At 38.1% G+C, this 18,995-nt stretch overlaps 1 long non-coding RNA gene across 6 annotated transcripts in view; it reads left to right on the plus strand.

Moving 5' to 3' along the window:
- LOC102723370 (uncharacterized) overlaps positions 1-18,995 on the plus strand; it is a 366,694-nt gene that overhangs the window by 180,861 nt on the left and 166,838 nt on the right. For 2 of the 6 annotated variants that reach the window (XR_007062617.1, XR_007062620.1), the window contains exon 1: positions 10,670-10,845. The exons of the other annotated variants lie outside the window; for them this stretch is intronic. This is a non-coding gene — a long non-coding RNA (uncharacterized LOC102723370). Of the gene's footprint in view, positions 1-10,669; positions 10,846-18,995 lie in introns of those variants that run through there. 6 annotated transcript variants of the gene reach the window in all.

Below are 18,995 nucleotides of genomic sequence, written 5' to 3' on the forward strand. Positions count from 1 at the left end.
TTTTCCACATTTACGAAGTTTGCTTTTAGACTGCAAAGTAACTCACAGCACAGTTTCAGATGACTTTTATTGACTCATGATCAAGGGAACCCTCAACACACAAAAGAAATTGAGCATGAATTTGTCATAACTACTGACTTAAGGCTAAGCAAGGCATATATACATATATATATGTGTGTGTGTGTATGTTTATCTAATTCTCACAACTAATCTGTGCAATAATTGTTATAGCCACAGCTCTGTCCTGGAGTCACATTAAATAGTTCCCTCATCTGCCAATGCTCCTTTATTATGGGCTCTCATGCATACTATCCTCTCTATTGAAACACTCACTCTGACCATCCCAACTTCCTCTTTTGTTTATTCTCTCTTTTGCCTGACAAACTCCAACTTATAATTCAGGTTTCAGAATAGACATGGCCATTTCCATGATCTTCCATGACGGGCTAGTTGCCCTCCCTATTTGCTCCCAAATGCTTTGCATGTCCCATATTTTATCCCATAAATTTATATTATAGTTGCCTATGTACTAGTCTAGTCTCGTGTGCTAGACTGTCTAACAATAGTCTCTTGTATTAGACTGACCACCGTGAGATCCAGGACCATAGAAGGGGGAACATAGTTTAATCTACTACAGTGTAGTGAGGACATGGAACCTGCACCTATGCTTCCTGGATGTAAATCCTGTCTTTACCACTTACTAACTGAGGGTCTGCAGACAAATTAAATGAATGAGTCTGTTTATTTGCAAAATGAGAATAAAATAGTCCATACTTTCTGCAATTGTTGTGAGAGAGAACACAGAAAAGGCGCTGAGAGGGTACATGGCATGCAGTAAGTGTTATTCGTTTTATTGAGGCTAGTCATGAATGTAATCTCAAGCTGGCACATAGTAGATGCTCAGAAATTTTTGGAGACCCAGGATCATCTCAAATGTAACTTCTTCTATAAAGCCTTCTCAAATGCCCCATTTAGAAGTCTTCCTCTCAACTCAGATGACACCTTACCTCCTACTATTTAATAGTACTTCTTATCTATTACCATATATCCAGCGAATGTTTTCTGCATGTCGTTTTCTTCCTACCAAGCCAAAGCTTCTAGCTGGCAGGCTCCATATTTGTCTCTATTCATCACAACACCTATGGTAGAAAACAATTGTTGGATGAATTAATGACTCAATAAATCAATTTTAAAAAAAAAGTCCATGGCTGGGCGCGGTGGCTCACGCCTGTAATCCCAGCACTTTGGGAGGCAGAGGCGGGCGGATCACGAGGTCAGGAGATCGAGACCATCCTGGCTAACACAGTGAAACCCTGTCTCTACTAAAAATACAAAAAAAAAATTAGCCGGGCGTGGTGTCGGGCGCCTGTAGTCCCAGCTACTCGGGAGGCTGAGGCAGGAGAATGGCGTGAACCCAGGAGGCGGAGCTTGCAGTGAGCCAAGATTGCGCCACTGCACTACAGCCTGGGCGACACAGCGAGACTATGTCTCAAAAAAAAAAAAAAAAAAAAAAAAAATCCAAAAAATCAAAGCGAGTCCTTGGAGACAGGTTGAAAAGGGAGACTGAGACTGAAAATGGGGCTGAAATTTGAATATTAAGCTAAGAAATTTAGAAGAAAACTGCAAAAAGAAGATGTCTTGCGCACCAAAACTCAGCACAACTGTGAAAGGTAGGTGGTTGCTGCTACTAGGTGATCTGTCAAACTTTGTCACACACAGGAGCCATGTCACAAACCAGGGGCCTGATAGGTGCTGCCTTTGCATTGGAAACCATAAAGGGAAAGACTTCACTTCCAGAATTGGCTACTTTGTGCCCAGGAAGCAGAAAGACAACACTGAACTTTTCACATGGTCTTTGATAAAAGCGCCTGCACAGTGCATGATTGATAAAGGAGAAGACAAAGCTGTTCAACTATGAGACATTACTGGATTTTAAATATTTAAAGTTGATAATTTCTAGTTCAAGATATTGAACTAGAAATGTGAAGAGGTAGGGATGGTGTTCACACTTAACTTGTTGGAAAGATGACCACACATCATATGGAAAATCCAAGTCCAGTGAGAAAACAGAAAAATAAGTGTATAACAATTTTTGAATGATGTAAAAGTGAATTATTTCTGGATGAGTTTTCTGAAGTATGTGCTGAAAACATAACATCCAACAGGTTAGTCTTTCTAAAAAGAGTTCCCCTGATCAAATAGATTTGGGCAAATGTGCATGCTCTAGGTCTCTCGGATAATGGACATCACAATATTAAATGTTCTGAAAAGTCTGGAAGTAATAAAACTTAAACTTCACTTGAACCCTGAAAGGCAGTGACTTAACCAAAATGATCCCTGTTGATAAAAAAAAAAAAGGAAGAGAATTTACTTCTATTTTAAATTTTCATTAAAAGTGTTGTGACTCCTCTTATTGACTTGATACAATAGGATTATGGAAAAATAACTTTGAAGAAGTTGAGAGATACCCTTAGCTCCTCTTTTTTACTGATACTTACCATGTAGGAACCAGTCTATAAACACTGGTTAATGTCTGGATTCTTGTACATAGGCAGTGAACTGCACTTGGATGTAAATCTTAATTTCCTCATATCTAAATTTCAAGATCATTCCAGTTTATATACTCATATATTCAGAAGGGAAGTCTAGTTTCCATACCTACTCACTTCTCCCACTATAACAGCTGGGCTTGACTTCTGAAATGTTCCTCTGTCTTCCTCCTAGAAAACTCATATGATGTCCTCAGTAAACTTCTCAATAAACTTTTCTGTTGTTGTCCCCCCCAAAACTCCAATGCTTTCTTTTGTTGTTCATTTGCCTTGATCTTTCTGCAGCATTACCTGTGGCTCTTCTCTTCTCTTTTTAGCTGAATCCTTCCTTATTTATTTTCCATATCCAGGATGGGTAATTGAAATAAAGTGAGATTTGATTTAAATTATAGAACAAGGCAGTGTCATTCTTTTGCTGAACTGAAAATTGCAATGGAAAATCTTTCTTGCAACTTTTTCTTTTTGGTATGGATTTTTTTTAAATGTGAGGTTAAGACCCAGGAAACCTGGAATTCAACCCTAGGCCTTGCTATTAAGCAGTAACATGATCTTGAATAAAAATCAATTCCTGGCCCTTTGTTTTTTATCATCTATGGAATGAAGGAGAGAAACTTTAGAATATCTATACGTCTTTCTTTTACTGACATCCTGAATGCTCAGAAAATGCTTCTTCACCATATTTATGTGACTTTATCAAAATATTTGTCTCAGAGCCTACATAACAACACTATTTTAAAGAAAAAATCTTAAAATGGATAGCCTAGTGTTTAACTGTGCAGACCTTCACACCAGAATGCCTGAGTTCAAATTCTACTCCCACCATTTCGTGTCTGTGTGATGTTGGAAAAATCACTTAACTTGTCCGTGCTTCAGTTTCCTCATCTGAAAAAAAAAGAAAAAGAAAAAAAAAAAAGATACAGCAGCAGTTTCTCCCTCAGAGAGTTTTGAAGATTAAAGAAATTAATAAACGGAAAGCACTCAGAATGCTGCTGGGTATATAGGGAATGCTATGTACATGTGGTCTTTATTATTAATGGATCTTGACAGTGGTTGAAAACAAAGTATTTAAATATGGTTTTATCCTTTTCTGTCTAATTATGCAGCATTGGTAATTTTTTCACTGCTTGTGAAAGTTTGATTCATTGCAGAGAAAACCAAATACGTCATTGATAGCTTTAATTATAAACCCATACTCTGTCCACAATAATTTTTTAAAATTAAACATAGTCTCACTTTTCCTACTTTAGTAGACTATGTGAAAAAAAAAACCTTTTGATTGACAAAATGATGACTTTGTGATACATATACAAAGAAAGTAGCCAACAATACGTTGTTATAATTCTTTCTTTATATAAACTTGGTGTCTCTCAGAAAAGCTGAGAGGAGAAAGAACAGCAATCATATATTCGCAGCATTTATTATAGTACCCTTCTTATTTACTATTTCTGGTTCTTGGCATTTGTGTTTGTATATTTGAATTCCTGTCTGGTGTGAGTTCCTTAATCAAATATAGCTTTGTTCCTACTCAACTCCTTTGTGCTATAATCATAACTTGATGTGATTCTTTAATTTGCCTTCAGTTACTTGAAGCTAGCAGAGGTCAGTTCATAAGTTAAAGGAATAAAGTTTTGTTCATATCATAAAAGTGCAAGGTGAGGCTGCAAATGCTGATGTGGAAGTTACAGTAAGTAATCCAGAAAATTTAGCTAAGACAATTGATAAAGAGGGCTATGCTAAACAACAGACTTTGAATATAGACAAAACAGCCTTATATTGGAAGAAGATTCCATTTATGACTTTCATAGATAGAGAGGAGAAGTCAATGCCTGGCTTCAAAGCTTCAAAGGACAGGCTGACTCTCTTCTTAGGGGGTAATGCAGCTGGTGACTTTAAGTTGAACTCAATGCTCATTTACCATTCTGAAAATCCTGGGGCTCTTTAAAATTACCCTAAATCTATTCTGCCTGTGCTCTACAAATGTAAGAACAAAGCTTGAATGACAGTACATCTATTTACATCATGGTTTACTGAATATTTTAAGCTATCTGTTAATACTTACTGCTCAGAAAAAAAAAAAATCCTTTCAAAATATCACTGCTATTGAGAATTCACCTAGTCACCCAAGAGATCTGATGGAGATGAACAAAAAAGTTAATGTTTTTATGTCTGCTAAAAGGACATCCATTCTGCAGTCCATGGATCAAAGAGTAATTTCTACTTTCAAGTCTTTCAACTCTCAAAGGCATTTCTTATTTAAGAAATATATTTCATAAGGCTATAGCTGCCATAAAGAGTGATTTGTGTGATGGATCTGGACAAATTAAATTAAAAACCTGCTGGAAAGAATTCACCATTCTAGATGCCATTAAGAAAATTCATGATTCATGGGAGGAGGTCAAAATATCGACATGAACAGGAGTTTGGAAGAAGTTGATTCCAAAACTCATGAATGAATTTGAGGGATTCAAGACTTCAGTGGAGAAAGTAACTGCAGATGTGGTATTAAATAGAAATAGCAAGACAACTAGAATTAGAAGTAGAGTCTGAAGATGTGACTGAATTGCTGCAGTCTCATACTAAAACTTGAAGGGATGAGGAGTTGCTTCTTATGAAAGAGCAAAGAAAGTGATTTATTGAGATGGAATCTCCTCCTGGTGAAGAAATCATGGACATTGTTGAAATGACAATGCATCCGGATATGAATGTAGAGCCAGTGGCCTGCTTTTGTCTTCATGACTTTCTTGCTTTGGCCCCAAGGTTGTGAGCAGGGGCTATGTAGCCTCTAGTCTTCTCAACCTCTCCTGGTGTGAACATTGAATTATAATAAACTGAGATGAGGGTTATATGAGCCCCATCTTCTCAGCATACCTCAGCACTTCCTCCCTCCATGAAAGGTAAAAGCTGTCTTTTTTTAAATTAAACTTTCTATATTGAACAATTATAGATTCACACATAGATGTAAAAAATAATTCAGAGAAACCCCATATATCTTTTATCTAATTTCCCCCAGTGGCAACACCTTGCAAAACTTTAGTATAATAACAGAATTAGAATATTGAGGTTTATATAGTTAAGACACAAATATTTTCTATCAACACAATTAACTCTTTTGTTGCCTTTTTATATTTATATATTTACTGAGACAAGGTCTCACTTTCTTACCCAGGTTGGATGGAGTGCTGTGGCCCAATCTCAGCTCACTGCAACCTCCACCTTTCAGGTTCAAGCAATCCTCCCACCTCAGCCTCCCAAGTAGCTGTGACCACAGACACACACCACAACACCTGGTTAACTGTGGAAACCACTAATCTGTCCTCAATTTCTATAATTTTGTCATTTCAAAAATGTTGTACAAATGGAATCATAGAGTATATGACATTTTTGAATTCATGTTTTTACTTAGCAAATTCTCTGGAGATTCATCCAAGTTTTTCATGTATCAGTAGTTTGTTCCTATCAATACCATAGTATGAATGTACAACAGTTTGTTTAACTATTCACACATTAAAGGACATCTGGTTTGTTTCTAGTTGTTGGCCATTATGAAAAATAAAAAGGCTGCTATAAAAATTTACATGCAGGATTTTTTTGTGAGCATAGGTTTTTATTTCTTTGAGATTTATGCCTAAGAGTATAATCACATAGTTGTTGCAGTTTTAGTTTAAGAAACCACCAAACTGTTTTTCAGTGTCTGTGTAATTTTACATTCTTTCCAGAAATCTGTAAGGTACCTGTTGTTATGGGCTGAACTGTATCCCTCCAAAATTCATATGCTGAATGCCTAACCCACAACGTGGCTGTATTTGGAGATGGGGCCTTTAGGGAAGTAATTAGTTTAAGTGAGGTCACGAGAGTGGGTCCCTAATCCCATATGAATGATGTTCTTATTATAACAGGAAGCAACACCAAAGATCATTTTCTCTCCTTTTGTGTGAAACCAACCTAATTGTGCCATAGATAGTTTATGGGATAATCATAAAAATTGGCCCTGCCAGTCTTAAAACTTGAGAAACTTACAACTGCCTTATCTGAGTTTCTTTCTCAGGAAACCAACCATCAGGCCTCCCAGATAGTATCAAGAAATTGAAACTTAACCAATCATCACATCTGGGCAATGAGACACCAGACCCCCTCATTCATCGTGATTGTTTCTTTACCTGCTGTAATTATTGGTTTACTAAGGGACCACCTGCTTCCTATTGACCAACTCCTCTTCCTTACCCCTCTCTAATTGCTGTTTTCCTGCACATAGCTACATTCCTTTTCTGCTATATAAACCTTCAATTTTAGTTAGTCAGGGACATGGATTTGAGACTGATCTCCCAACTCCTCTGCTGCAGCACCTGAATAAAGCCTCTTCCCTGGTCATTTTCTGCTCAGTGATTGGCTTTTTGTGTGGTAAGCAGCAGTATCTAGACCAAATCCCAGAGTTCCTGTAACATATACACACACAGAGAAAATGCTTTGCACAGACATAAAGAGAAAGCAACTGTTTGCGAGCCAGGAAGAGAGAAACCAAACTGGAGAGCACCTTGATGTAGAATTTCTAGCTTCCAGAACTGTGAGGAAATACATTTCTGTTGTTTAAGCAACCCAGCCTGCCATATATTGTTATACAGTAGCCCTAGCAAACTAACACATTGTTTCTCTACATTCTTTCCCACTTTTGATATTGCTACTCTTTTATTTTAGCCACTCTAAGAGGTTTATAGTGATATTGCATTATACTTTTATGTGAATTTCTCTAATGACTGATGTTGAGCGTCTTTTCATATGTTTATTTGCATTATATATTTCTTCTTTGGTGAAGTATCTTTTCATGTATTTTGCTCATTTTATAATTGGATTTTGTTTTAACGGGTGAGTTTTGAGAGTTCTTCACTTTTTCCTGATAGCTCAGATATGTGGTCTACAAGTGTTTTCTCTTATTCTGTAGCTTATATTTTCATTCTCTTTAGAGGGTCCTTCACAGAAGAAAGTTTTCAATTTTTATAAACTCCAACATACCAAATTTTTATTTTACGGATCATGCTTTTAGTGTCAAATCTACAAACTCTTTGTCTACCCCTGGATGGCAAAGATTTTCTCCTTTTTTTTTTTCTCAAAAGCTTTGTGGTTGTATGTTTTACACATAAGTCTGTGGTCCATTCCGTGTTAATATTTGTGTAAGGTATGAGAAGCCAAAGTTCAGCTTGTTGCCTATGGATATATGTTACAATAAAGACTATACTTGATCTTTGTCCCTGGTTTCTGGCATATGGGAAGCTAGAATGGACATTCTGGCTCTCCACATGGTCTCCACTGACACTATAGTAGTGGCCGCCCTGTTACCACTGAGCAATGGGGCAAATCCTTACTTGCCATTAGGCCTCCTCTGATACAACCCCACGGGGACCAGGAGGGACATCTCATTTTTGCTGGGTGGTTGTAGAATCTAAGGCTTTCCACACGATCTCCCTGATATTTATTTCTTGATCCTTTGGCTAGGAAGAGGAGGCTTTGTTTTGGGGCATATACACACACGTTGGTGTTTCTGGGTTGCTGGCCCCTTTAGCTCCAGGTCTGAGATACATAAGACAAAAAGAGCACCCAGGGATCTCACCACCCTGTTGCTCCTCCAGTCCTGAAGTCTCTAGTCGCTTTCCTTCTTCTTTTTACTTTTCAGAGGTGTATTTTCATTTCATCTGTAGTATCCAGTGATATGGTTTGGCTGTGTCCCCACTCAAATCCCCAGGTGTTGTGGGACAAACCATGTGGAGATAATTAAATCCTGGGGGCTGTCCCCCTATCCTGTTCTCATGATAGTGGTTAGTTCTCACTAAATCTGATGGTTTTATAAGGGGCTTTCCCCCTTTGGCTTGGCACTTCTTCTTGCTGCCGCCATGTGAAGGAGGATGTGTTTACTTCCCCTTCCACCATGATTATAAGTTTCCTGAGGGCTCCCCAGCCATGCTGAACTGTGAATCAATTAAACCTCTTTCCTTTATAAATTACTCAGTCTTGGGTATGTCTTTATAAGCAGCATGAGAATGGACTAATACATCCAGGGTTTTAGTTGTGCTGAGAAAGAAAAACAAGAAGAAGTAAATTTATTTCATCTTTCCAGAATTTGAAGTTTCTGAAAATGCTCTTTTAAGCAGAATATGATGGACATTCAATTGGCCAATCAACTACCAAACATAATATTTTGGTTTATGGAATCTACCATTTTTGAAGTCTTGGTGGGAGGCAGAGCCTTACCTTGCATTTATAGAAGTGAAAGCTGGTGTCTGGGCATATGACTTAGTCTTGTTCAATCAGATGCCACCATGGAAGATTTGATTCTGTAGTAAATGGCACATGAAAGAAGAGATAGTTGAGAATTTATTTCTCTGCTAACGGTATCATGCAGGGTCCTGGCACTCAGTGTCCAGTGGCAGTAGCAGTGATATTCAAATTAGGCTATTTTTAATGATGATAATTTAGTTGGTACTCTGGATATCTACTTGGTTTTTTACCATTTTATTGGGGTTCATGTTTCTCTTTTTTTTTTTTTTTTTTTTTTTTTTGAGACGGAGTCTCGCTCTGTCGCCCAGGCTGGAGTGCAGTGGCGGGATCTCGGCTCACTGCAAGCTCCGCCTCCCAGGTTCACGCCATTCTCCTGCCTCAGCCTCCCAAGTAGCTGGGACTACAGGCGCCCGCCACTACGCCCGGCTAATTTTTTGTATTTTTAGTAGAGACGGGGTTTCACCGTTTTAGCCGGGATGGTCTCGATCTCCTGACCTCGTGATCCGCCCGCCTCGGCCTCCCAAAGTGCTGGGATTACAGGCGTGAGCCACCGCGCCCGGCCTCATCTTTCATTCTTCCTTTAGATTTTGTGTTCTCCAAAGTTTTATTGCAATCAAAGAGAATTGTATTTCCCATTAGAGAGACAGGAGATGCTGAGGGATTAAATAAAGAGAAAGAGACAAAAGCAAACTCCCAGCTCTTGGCAACCCCTTTCTTTTAATCTTTGCTCTTTTCTAGCACAAATAATATATATTCTGCTCAGAGAAATTTATCTTGTTAACATTAGCTATTGTTATAAAACACACACACACAAATATATACAAGAATGATTTAAGAATTTTTTTCTGGTAAAAATATGGATAATTGCACGAGGCAAATATGCAAGGAAATATTGTCATGGTGATTTTTACAAGCCAGTCACCTGCAGTAATAATTCCTAATGACCCAAAAATATTCAAAAGAGAGACAGTAAAAATCCAACACTCTGGCTGCACATGAAGACTGCTTTCGTGCTCTAAGCCCAGCCCCCAAGTATGAAAAGTAAATAAATAAATATAACTGGAAGCCCAGGACACACGATGGGTTCAGAACATAAAACGGAATTCCACAGCACAGCAAGAAACCAAGTGGTTTCTTGACAGGCAAATTCCTTTCCACAAAAAGCATAGGCCTTATTAAAGTGTTTCTCAAGTTCAAAGACAGGCGAGATAGATGGGGCTGCACACTGTAGATATGGACAACTCATCAGAACCGTTACCATATTTGTTGGGAAGCAATAGACCAAACAGAAAACCTCAGTCTCACCTCTCACTATGTAATTTGCTGTATTTATCTGGTAGGCAAATATTCTTTGAATTAAAGTTGCTTCACAACTAGAAGACTTTTCTTAAATGCCATTTCAGAGAAGGCAATGTTTAACATTCCCACATCAGAGAAATAAAAACAATTCCTAATTCTTGTTAAATGTATTTCAACTCTTTGACATGTCTTCACGTCAATTATATAATTCCAATCTCAAAACAACCTGTGAAGTCATCAGGAAAGGATAGGAAAAAATAACATATTTACTGAGTGCCTACTATATACTAGGTTAGATATATTTTTTCATTTTATCCTTACACCAACCCTTTGATTTAATGTATTTAATTGATGAGATTGAGAGAGATTAACTGGTTGCTTCAGGTCAGTCAGATCCAGGGGTAGATCCCACGTCACTTGGCTTCCAAGTCTATGAAGCCTTTTTCAGATTCTGTTGTGGCACTTTTTGGTTCACTTAATGGAAAAATAAAGTCATATGCTAAAGAGTAAGGAAACTCAACCCATATTTTTTGTGCTTCTATTTAAAGCATGATTTTGCCTCTGAGTGGATATCAACAGGAAATAGTTCCTGTATCATCAACAGAACAAGCAGCTGGACTGAGGAAACAAAAACACAAAGTCCAAAATAGTGATATTGGCAGGGTAGACATTACACGCAGGATACCGGAAGGCCAGTCAGACCATGAGGGCTTATGCTGCAACCCCTAAGGTGAGAGAAGGCTCCAGAACCACTTTTAAAAATGGTACTGTATAGTGACATCGGGCAAGTCACTTAATCTTTCTAGGTATCAGGTTTGTTACCTGCAAAATCTTTAATTTAACTCACTAATTTGTAGTCTGAGGTATAGGAGGAATTGAGAAGCCTAGAAAGCCTGGTAAAGGGTGGATGGGCACAGGTACTGACAAGGATGTGAAATCTGTGAAGCTTTCCCACCTCCCTTTTTGAAGCATATTTCTTTTCATATGATAATCCTTTTTCTCTCATCCTTTTCCCATTCTTGCTAATCCCATTCATGGATTATTGATGTATTCCTCCCCACAGTACATCAAAACTCTGAAGGCCCCCTACACCATATAACATGATACAGGCTGATAAATCATTACATATATATGCACACGTACACACTCATACCCTAAGTTTCTCTATACATACACCTAGACACATATACCTGATTTTGCTACAAAACATTGAAACACGCAGACTCATCCCAGCTGTGTAACTAGCCAACTCTGTAACCTTGGGAAAATCATATCATCTTTCCAGGTGTCAGTATCTTCATCTACAAAATAAAGAGCTTAACCTAAATTATTTCTGAACTAGCTGATAGTCCTCAAATCCAAGAATAGCTTGTTCTCTGTTACTCAATGTTCTTATGCTAACTCCAACTGAAAAATTAACATATGGTTTCTTCCTCACTACTAAACAGATGAATGATCTTTGTTATCCATTATGCAAAAGGAAGACTTTATAAAATACATAAATTTGAAATTGTATGTGTGTTAATCAACCAAAAGATTATTAAGTTATATTCATTGGAGTCCACTAATGGTAGAAACAATTTGGAAAGATATATATATGCACATGCACATAAATTTTTAAATTTTTAATTTTTTTTCCCTATAAAACAAACACCTTCACCTCAGAGATTTATTCTCTTATCATTTTCCCAGGTCATAAGATTTGAAATTAAACAAAGTGGCCACTCAATGACAGCTCTTTACATGGAAGTTTCAATTCCAGGAAATCCAGACTTGAATTCTTAGGCTTCTCTCTTCATATCTGTTCCAAAAGAGCAGCTCCTAAAAGTATAGCATTTCCAGCTGTCAGATTTGATTCAGACTAAAGAATATATAGTAATTTTCCACTTTGAAGTTTGGCCTTGAAAAAATATATATCTTCACTCTTGTTCTTATTTAAATTATTATTTTTTTTTTTTTTGGCAGAGTTTTACTCTTGTTGCCCAGGCTGGAGTGCGATGGTACGATCTTGGCTCACCGCAACCTCCACCTCCTGGGTTCAAGTGATTCTCCTGCCTCAGCCTCCCGAGTCACTGGGGTTACAGGCGCACACCACCACACCCAGCTAATTTTGTATTTGTAGTAGTGACGGGGTTTCTCCATGTTGGTCAGGCTGGTCTCGAACTCCCAACCTTAGGGGATCCGCCCATCTCGGCCCCCCAAAGTGCTGGGATTACAGGCATGAGCCACCACGCACTGCCTTAACTCATTCTTTATATAAAATATTACATATACATTTCAGAAACATCTCATACGTGTTCAGTTACATTTCTCACTATATTTATAATAATTATATTGAAGGCCCAAGCAAGTGACCTCACTAGCTCTTTTACTAACATAACTATGTTTGCCTTATAGAAAGTCACTAATGATAAGGAGCAGAAGAAGAAAAAGAGTTTTTCCTTTATCCCTTCCTGGTCCAGCTGTGTATTTTTCACATGAGAAGATGGAAAACCTCTCCTCATCCTAATATAACCCATCTGTTAGTGGCAGAACCTCAGAGGCATTAGAAACAGTTCTCTTTTCTGTTCAAAATATTCACAGTCCTTGAATCATCTGCATGTTAAACAATATTCTAAGCAAAATCCACACCACTTGAATAATTGTACAGACTTCTAAAAGATCTACCTAGAAACTTGTGGCTTATATCATGTATGAAGTCTGATAAGTTTGTTCGTTAAAAAATCGTATCACCTTATCATCACATATTGCTTATTGTTGATAAAAAGGAAGAAGCAATGCCTCTTGTTTTTAATCTATTATGACAATACAGAATTAAGGAAAATGAGTTTTAATAGAATGTTTATTTATTGTGCAGTTTCAGAGTCAAATTCAGAAAAATACAGGAGTTGGAAAACTGAGTGCAAGCATTTGTTTTGCAGTTAATGCATTTGTTCTCATTCAGCAAGTCAATGGCCTCCTCTAGGATCCTGTTACCTCATCCATAAAAGAAAAAGGATTTGGGAATTCTAAGTACCCTGCAGTTCAGACACACTAAGATCCTTCATCTCATCCATTGGCTTATAGAGGTGACAAGTTAGGTCTCCTGAACAGTTTCCAAAGGCATAAAAAAGTCGATAGAATGATTCTTTCCAACATAAGAAAAATAGTAAAACTGTACATAGGACACTATAAAATGACATCGAAGGAGACAGAGGCAATTTGCTCATTTGGAGAAAATAGCAAGATAAGATATGAAGTGCAGTGTAGCAGGGGAATGACACTGGATCATAACACTGAGTAAAAAGATTTTGAATAAGAGGTAGGCAACACATTCTGGAACAAATTACATTGTGGAGGGAAATTGTGTAAATATATAAGCTTTAGAGATGGTAAACTAAAGCTCTTGAACCAGTGGACTAAATATAAAAAAAGAAGTTCTAGAAGAGGGCATTTCTACATTTATCAAAGCATGCACTTCAAAGCCTCTTTCTCCTTTCCTACCGCACCAACTTTGAGATTTTAGCTTTCTTTGTTAATAAAGTATAATTCCTGTGACCAAGTGATGGCATCATACACCCCAGGAACCTTATAATAAAGTCTCTCCAGCCTTAAAAAAAAAATCACTTAAATTCAAGAGTTCATTTCTAGGTAAGCTAGCCAATGGGTCAAAGTGAAAAAATCCAAAAGTTAAGTTTGTTTTGATTTGTTTTTCCCCACATAATTATGACTTCCATAATTATGGCTCCAATTAAAGCAGAAACTCTGAGCTCTAGTAGGATTTTCTCTGTGAAGTAGCTTGTATGCTCCCTTTCCTGGTTTTCCAGATTGGCTTATAACTTCTGAACAAGGTTTAATAGCTGATTCCCAACTGCACTTAATGGAGAGTGATCTCAATACCAGTGTTGTGGAATGAGTCAAGCATAGATGGGGTTCCAAAATGCAGGGCTTTGGATAGAGTTTTAATTCACACTTGGCTGTAGGGAGCCCTATACTCACAAATAAGCCAAATTTAACTCTAGGTTTCCTCCCTGTCACTTTATCTACTACGTGCAACTTTTTAAATAGAAGCCTACCTGATTCTTTAAGAAAACTTTCTGCTAGGACATCTTAGAAAGAAAAATGACATTGTGAGGATTTAAATATAGCGAGACATTTTAAATCTTCATGCTATTAGACTAACCAGCTATCATCATCAGTGATAGTGGTGATAACTGTATCATGGTCTAGCAGATGAGAAATAGGCAAGCAGAAGCTTTTGTTCCAATTCCACCTTGATCATTAGCTCACTGAGATATTTCTCATAAGTAAAAAATACTTCAACTCCCATTTCTAAAGCTTGATTATTAAAGAATTGTTGTTTGCTGGCTTCAGTTAAGACATATATGGAATAAGTATATTTTTTAAAAAGTTAATTGAAATGATATGCCCTTATTTTAAAGGTTCCTATAGGGTAACGCACTTCAACCTACAGAATATAATAACCTTTACATTGACTTCTTATGGAAGCTTAAATATCTCTTCCTGTCAGAAAGATAGAATTGACATACTTCAAGTTCTTATGGGATGTGTTTAAGTGTAGCTTGGTTTTGTAGTCCAAAAATTCATAATCTATAGAAAAAAATTTCAGGAGACCAAGTAGGATTCTATTTTAAAAGCAAGAAAAGTCAAGTAGCATCCCCAAGTCTTTCATGAAATCACACCATTTCACGAAACTGCTCCATCTTACAAACTTCTTGGGTAGTAATCAAAGTAATCTGCTCTCTAGTAACTTCCACCTGTATCATACAGTTGAAAAAAAATGAAGGCTATGGAGTTACAACATTATAGTAATTGAGCTGCCTAACCCCAGACCTGTTGAACCAGATAATGTGTTTGTTTACTCTGTCAATTCTGTGTGGGAGTGCATAGCTCCAAAAGAGCATCCGTCACTCCCTCCAACTTCCCCATCCAGGAAAACAGCTACATGCTCATGCAGGTCAGAATCATTTATATTGCAAAATATATACAAGTCCTACCCTCAGTATCTTCAGATATGGATATATATTGCTTGCTTGGATTAATCTACCTCTCTATTCTACAACCTGAGCCATTAAGATTACTTCTGCCATTGCACCCCATCACAAGTTCAGCTCATATTCCTATTGATGGATAAAGGATGCATCAATAAATAGGGGAACAGTAAGAATAGAGACAGTAATCATTTTTTTTCTAGAAAATTATTTAATGGGACCTGACTCCCTAAAATTCCAATGGGGGACAACTAACTATTCTCAATTCCTGATGTGTTCATATTCGTCCACATTTTTATTTAACATATTTTTGTTTTGTTTTGTTTTGTTTTGTTTTTGAGATGGAGTTTCACTCTGTCGCCCAGGCTGGAGTGCAGTGGTGCGATCTCAGCTCACTGCATCCTCTGCCTCCCGGGTTTAAGCAATTCTCTACCTCAGCCTCCCGAGTAGCTGGGATTACAGGCACCCACCACCACACCTGGCTAATTTTTTTTTTTTTTGTATTTTTAGTAGAAAGGGGGTTTCACCATCTCAGCCAAGCTGATCTTGAACTCCTGACCTCATGATCTACCCACCTCAACCTCCTAAAGTGCTGGGATTACAGGCATGAGCCACCTCGCCTGGCCTAACATGTTTATTGAGACCCTAATATGTTTCAGACACTGTGCTAGGCTTTAGTGGTTCAGTGTTGGCTCAAACAGTGTTTGCTCTCAGGGAGTTCATGCTCCAATCTGGCAGAAAGATAAGTAAATGAAGTCATACCTCAGAGATATTACAGGTTCAGTTTCAGACCACCATAATAAAGCAAATATTGCAATAAAGTGAGTCACACATTTTTTTTGTTTGTTTTACAGCACATGTAAGAGTTATGTTTATATTATATTATAGTTTACTTGGTATTCAGTAGCATTATGTCTAGAAATGCACATATTTTAATTTAAAAATGTTTTATTCTTAAAAATGCTAATGGACATCTGAACCCTAAGCAAGTCATCATCTTTTTTCTGGTGAAGGTTCTTGTCTCAGTATTGATGGCTGCTGACTCATCAGTCTGGTGGCTCCTAAAGGTTGAGATGACTGTGACAATTTCTTAAGATAACAGTGAAGGTCACTACATCGATTGACTCTTCCATTCAGAAAAGTTTTCTCTGTAGCGTGTGATGAAAAGTTTGATAGCATTTTACCCAGAGTAGAACTTCTCTCAAAATTGGAATGTATTATCTCAAACCCTGCCACTGTCAACTAAGTTTATGTAATATTCTAAGCCTTTTGTCGTCATTTCAACAGTGTTCACAGGCTCTTCACCAAAACTAGCTTCTATCTCAAGAAACCATTTTCCTTGCTTATGCATAAGAAGAAACTACTCATCTATTCCAGTTTTATCATGAGATTGAAGCAATTCAGTCACATCTTCAGACTTCACTTCTAAATCTAGTTTTCTTCCTGTTTTCACAACATCTAAAGTTACTTTCTCTACTGAAGTCTTGAACCTCTCAAAAACTTTCAATCAGCAAGGATTGAACTCAGATTCTTCCAAACTGTTGTTCCTGTTAGTATTTTGATCTCGTACCGTGAATCATGAATGTTTTTAATGGCCTCTAAAATAATAAATTCTTTCCAGAAGGTTTTCACTTTACTTTGCCCTGATCACTATGGTAGCTCTAGTGAATCACTATGGCAGCTATAGCCTAACAAAATGTATTTCTTAAATAAGAGGACTTACTAATTGAGATTACTCCTTGATCCATGAGGTACAGAATGGATATTGTGTTAGCAGACATGAAAATAACATTAATCTTCATGTACATCTCCATCAGAGCCCTTGGGTGACTAGCTGCATTGTCAATGAGAAGTAATATTTTGAACAGAAACTTCTGAGAAGCAGGTCTCAATAGAAGGCTTAAAATATATAGTAAGTCATGATGTAAACAGATGTGTTGTCACCAAGACTTTGTTCTTCCGTTTATAGAACACAGGTGGAGTAGATTTAGCAAAATTCTTAAGGACCTTAGCATTTTCAGAATGGTAAGTAAACACTGAATTCAGCTTAAAGTTAACAGCAGCATTAACCCCTAACAAGGGAGTAAACCTTTGAAGCTTGGAACCAGGCAATTGACTTCTCTCTAGCTGTAAAAGTCCTAGATGGTATCATCTCATAATATAAGGCTGTTTTGTCTATATTGGAAATCTGTTGTTTAGTGTAGCCACCTTCATCAATTTTCCTAGCTAGATTTTCTGGATAACTTGCTGCAGCTTCTAAATCAGCTCTTGCTGTATAACCTTGCATTTTTCTTTTATGAAAACGGTTTCTTTGTTTAAACCTCCTGAACCAAGGTCTGATAGTTTCAACCTCTTCTGCAGCTTTCTTACTTCTCTCAACCTTCATGGAATTGACAAGACTTAGACCCTTGTTCTGGGTTAGGCTTTGGCTTAAGGGAATGTTGTGAGTGGTTTGATTCATTAAGACCAATAAAACTTTTTCCATGTCAGCAATAACACTGTTTAGCTTTCTTTTATTTGTTGTTCATTCAAGTAGCACTTTTAATTAAAAAAAAAAAACTTTTATTTTGCATTCATAATTTTGCTGATTGGCACATGACACTTAGCTTTTGGCCTATCTGAGCTTTTAACATGCCATCTTCATTATGTTTAGTTATTTCTAGCTTTTTGTTTGAAGTGTGAGATGTGTGGGAATGGAGCAAGATGGTAGAATAGAAGGTTCCACCAATCATCCCCCTGCCACTACAAGGACACCAATTTAACAATTATCTACACACACACAAAAAAAGCACCTCCATAAGAACGAAAAATCGAGTGACCACTCACAGTACCTGATTTTAACCTCATATTGCTGAAAGAGACACTGAAGAGGTAACAAAAACAGTCCTGAATTGCCAATGGCACCTCTCCTCCATCCCCCAGCAGTGGTGGCATGGTGTGGAGAGTGTTTCTGTGCACTGGGGAGAGGGGAAGCACAGAAAATATGTGGCATTGTACTCAGTGCTGCCCTATTATAACAAAAAACAAAACAGGACCAAACTAAGCTGACAGTCACCCACGGGTTTAAACCAGCCCTAGCTAGGGGAGTCAACCATGCCAGTGGTCAGAACTTAAGTTCTTGCAAGCCTTGCCCCTGAAGTCTAGAGTGTTCTGTGGTTCTGCATAAACCTGAAGGGTAGTCTAGGCCACAGGAGCTGCAGTTCTGTGGCAAGTCCCAAGTGCTGAACTGGGCCCAGAGCCAGTGGATGAGGGGGCCATGAGACCTACTGAAGCATCAGCCAAGGCTGCTAAGGGAGTGCCGGCATCACCCCTCCCCTAACTCCACGCTACACAGCTCATGGCTCCAAAAAAGTCCCCTTCTCTCTGCCTGAGGAAAGAAGAAGGAAGAGTGGGAAGGACTTTGTCTTGCACCTTGGATACCAGCTCAGCCACAGCAGGATGGAGCAGTGGTCAGAGCCATGAGGCCCCGTTTCTAGGCCCTAATTCACAGACTACATTTCTAGAAACATGCTGGGCCAGAAGGGAACCTGCTGACTCAAAAGGAAGGACACAGTACTGGCAGGATTAATTACCTGCTAATTGAAAAGGCCTTGGTACAAATAGCCAGCAGGAATACCCAATACTACATCAAGGGCTTTGAGTGAGACTCTGAGACTTGCTGTCTTCAGGTGAGACTGAGCACATTCTCAGATGTGGTGGCTACGGGGTGAGATTCCTTCCCATTGAGAAAAGTGGAGGGAAAAGTAAAGGGGACTAAGGAACCTGGTGCATGGAAGGCAAGGATCCAGTACTGTTAGAATTCATCACCTGCTAACTGGGAAGTCCTTGGGCTTTGAATAACCAGCAGTGATACCCAGGCACTATGCCAAGGGCATTGGATGAGACTCTG

The sequence above is a fragment of the Homo sapiens genome, chromosome 11, assembly GCF_000001405.40.
Source record: "Homo sapiens chromosome 11, GRCh38.p14 Primary Assembly".
Lineage (NCBI taxonomy): Eukaryota > Metazoa > Chordata > Mammalia > Primates > Hominidae > Homo > Homo sapiens.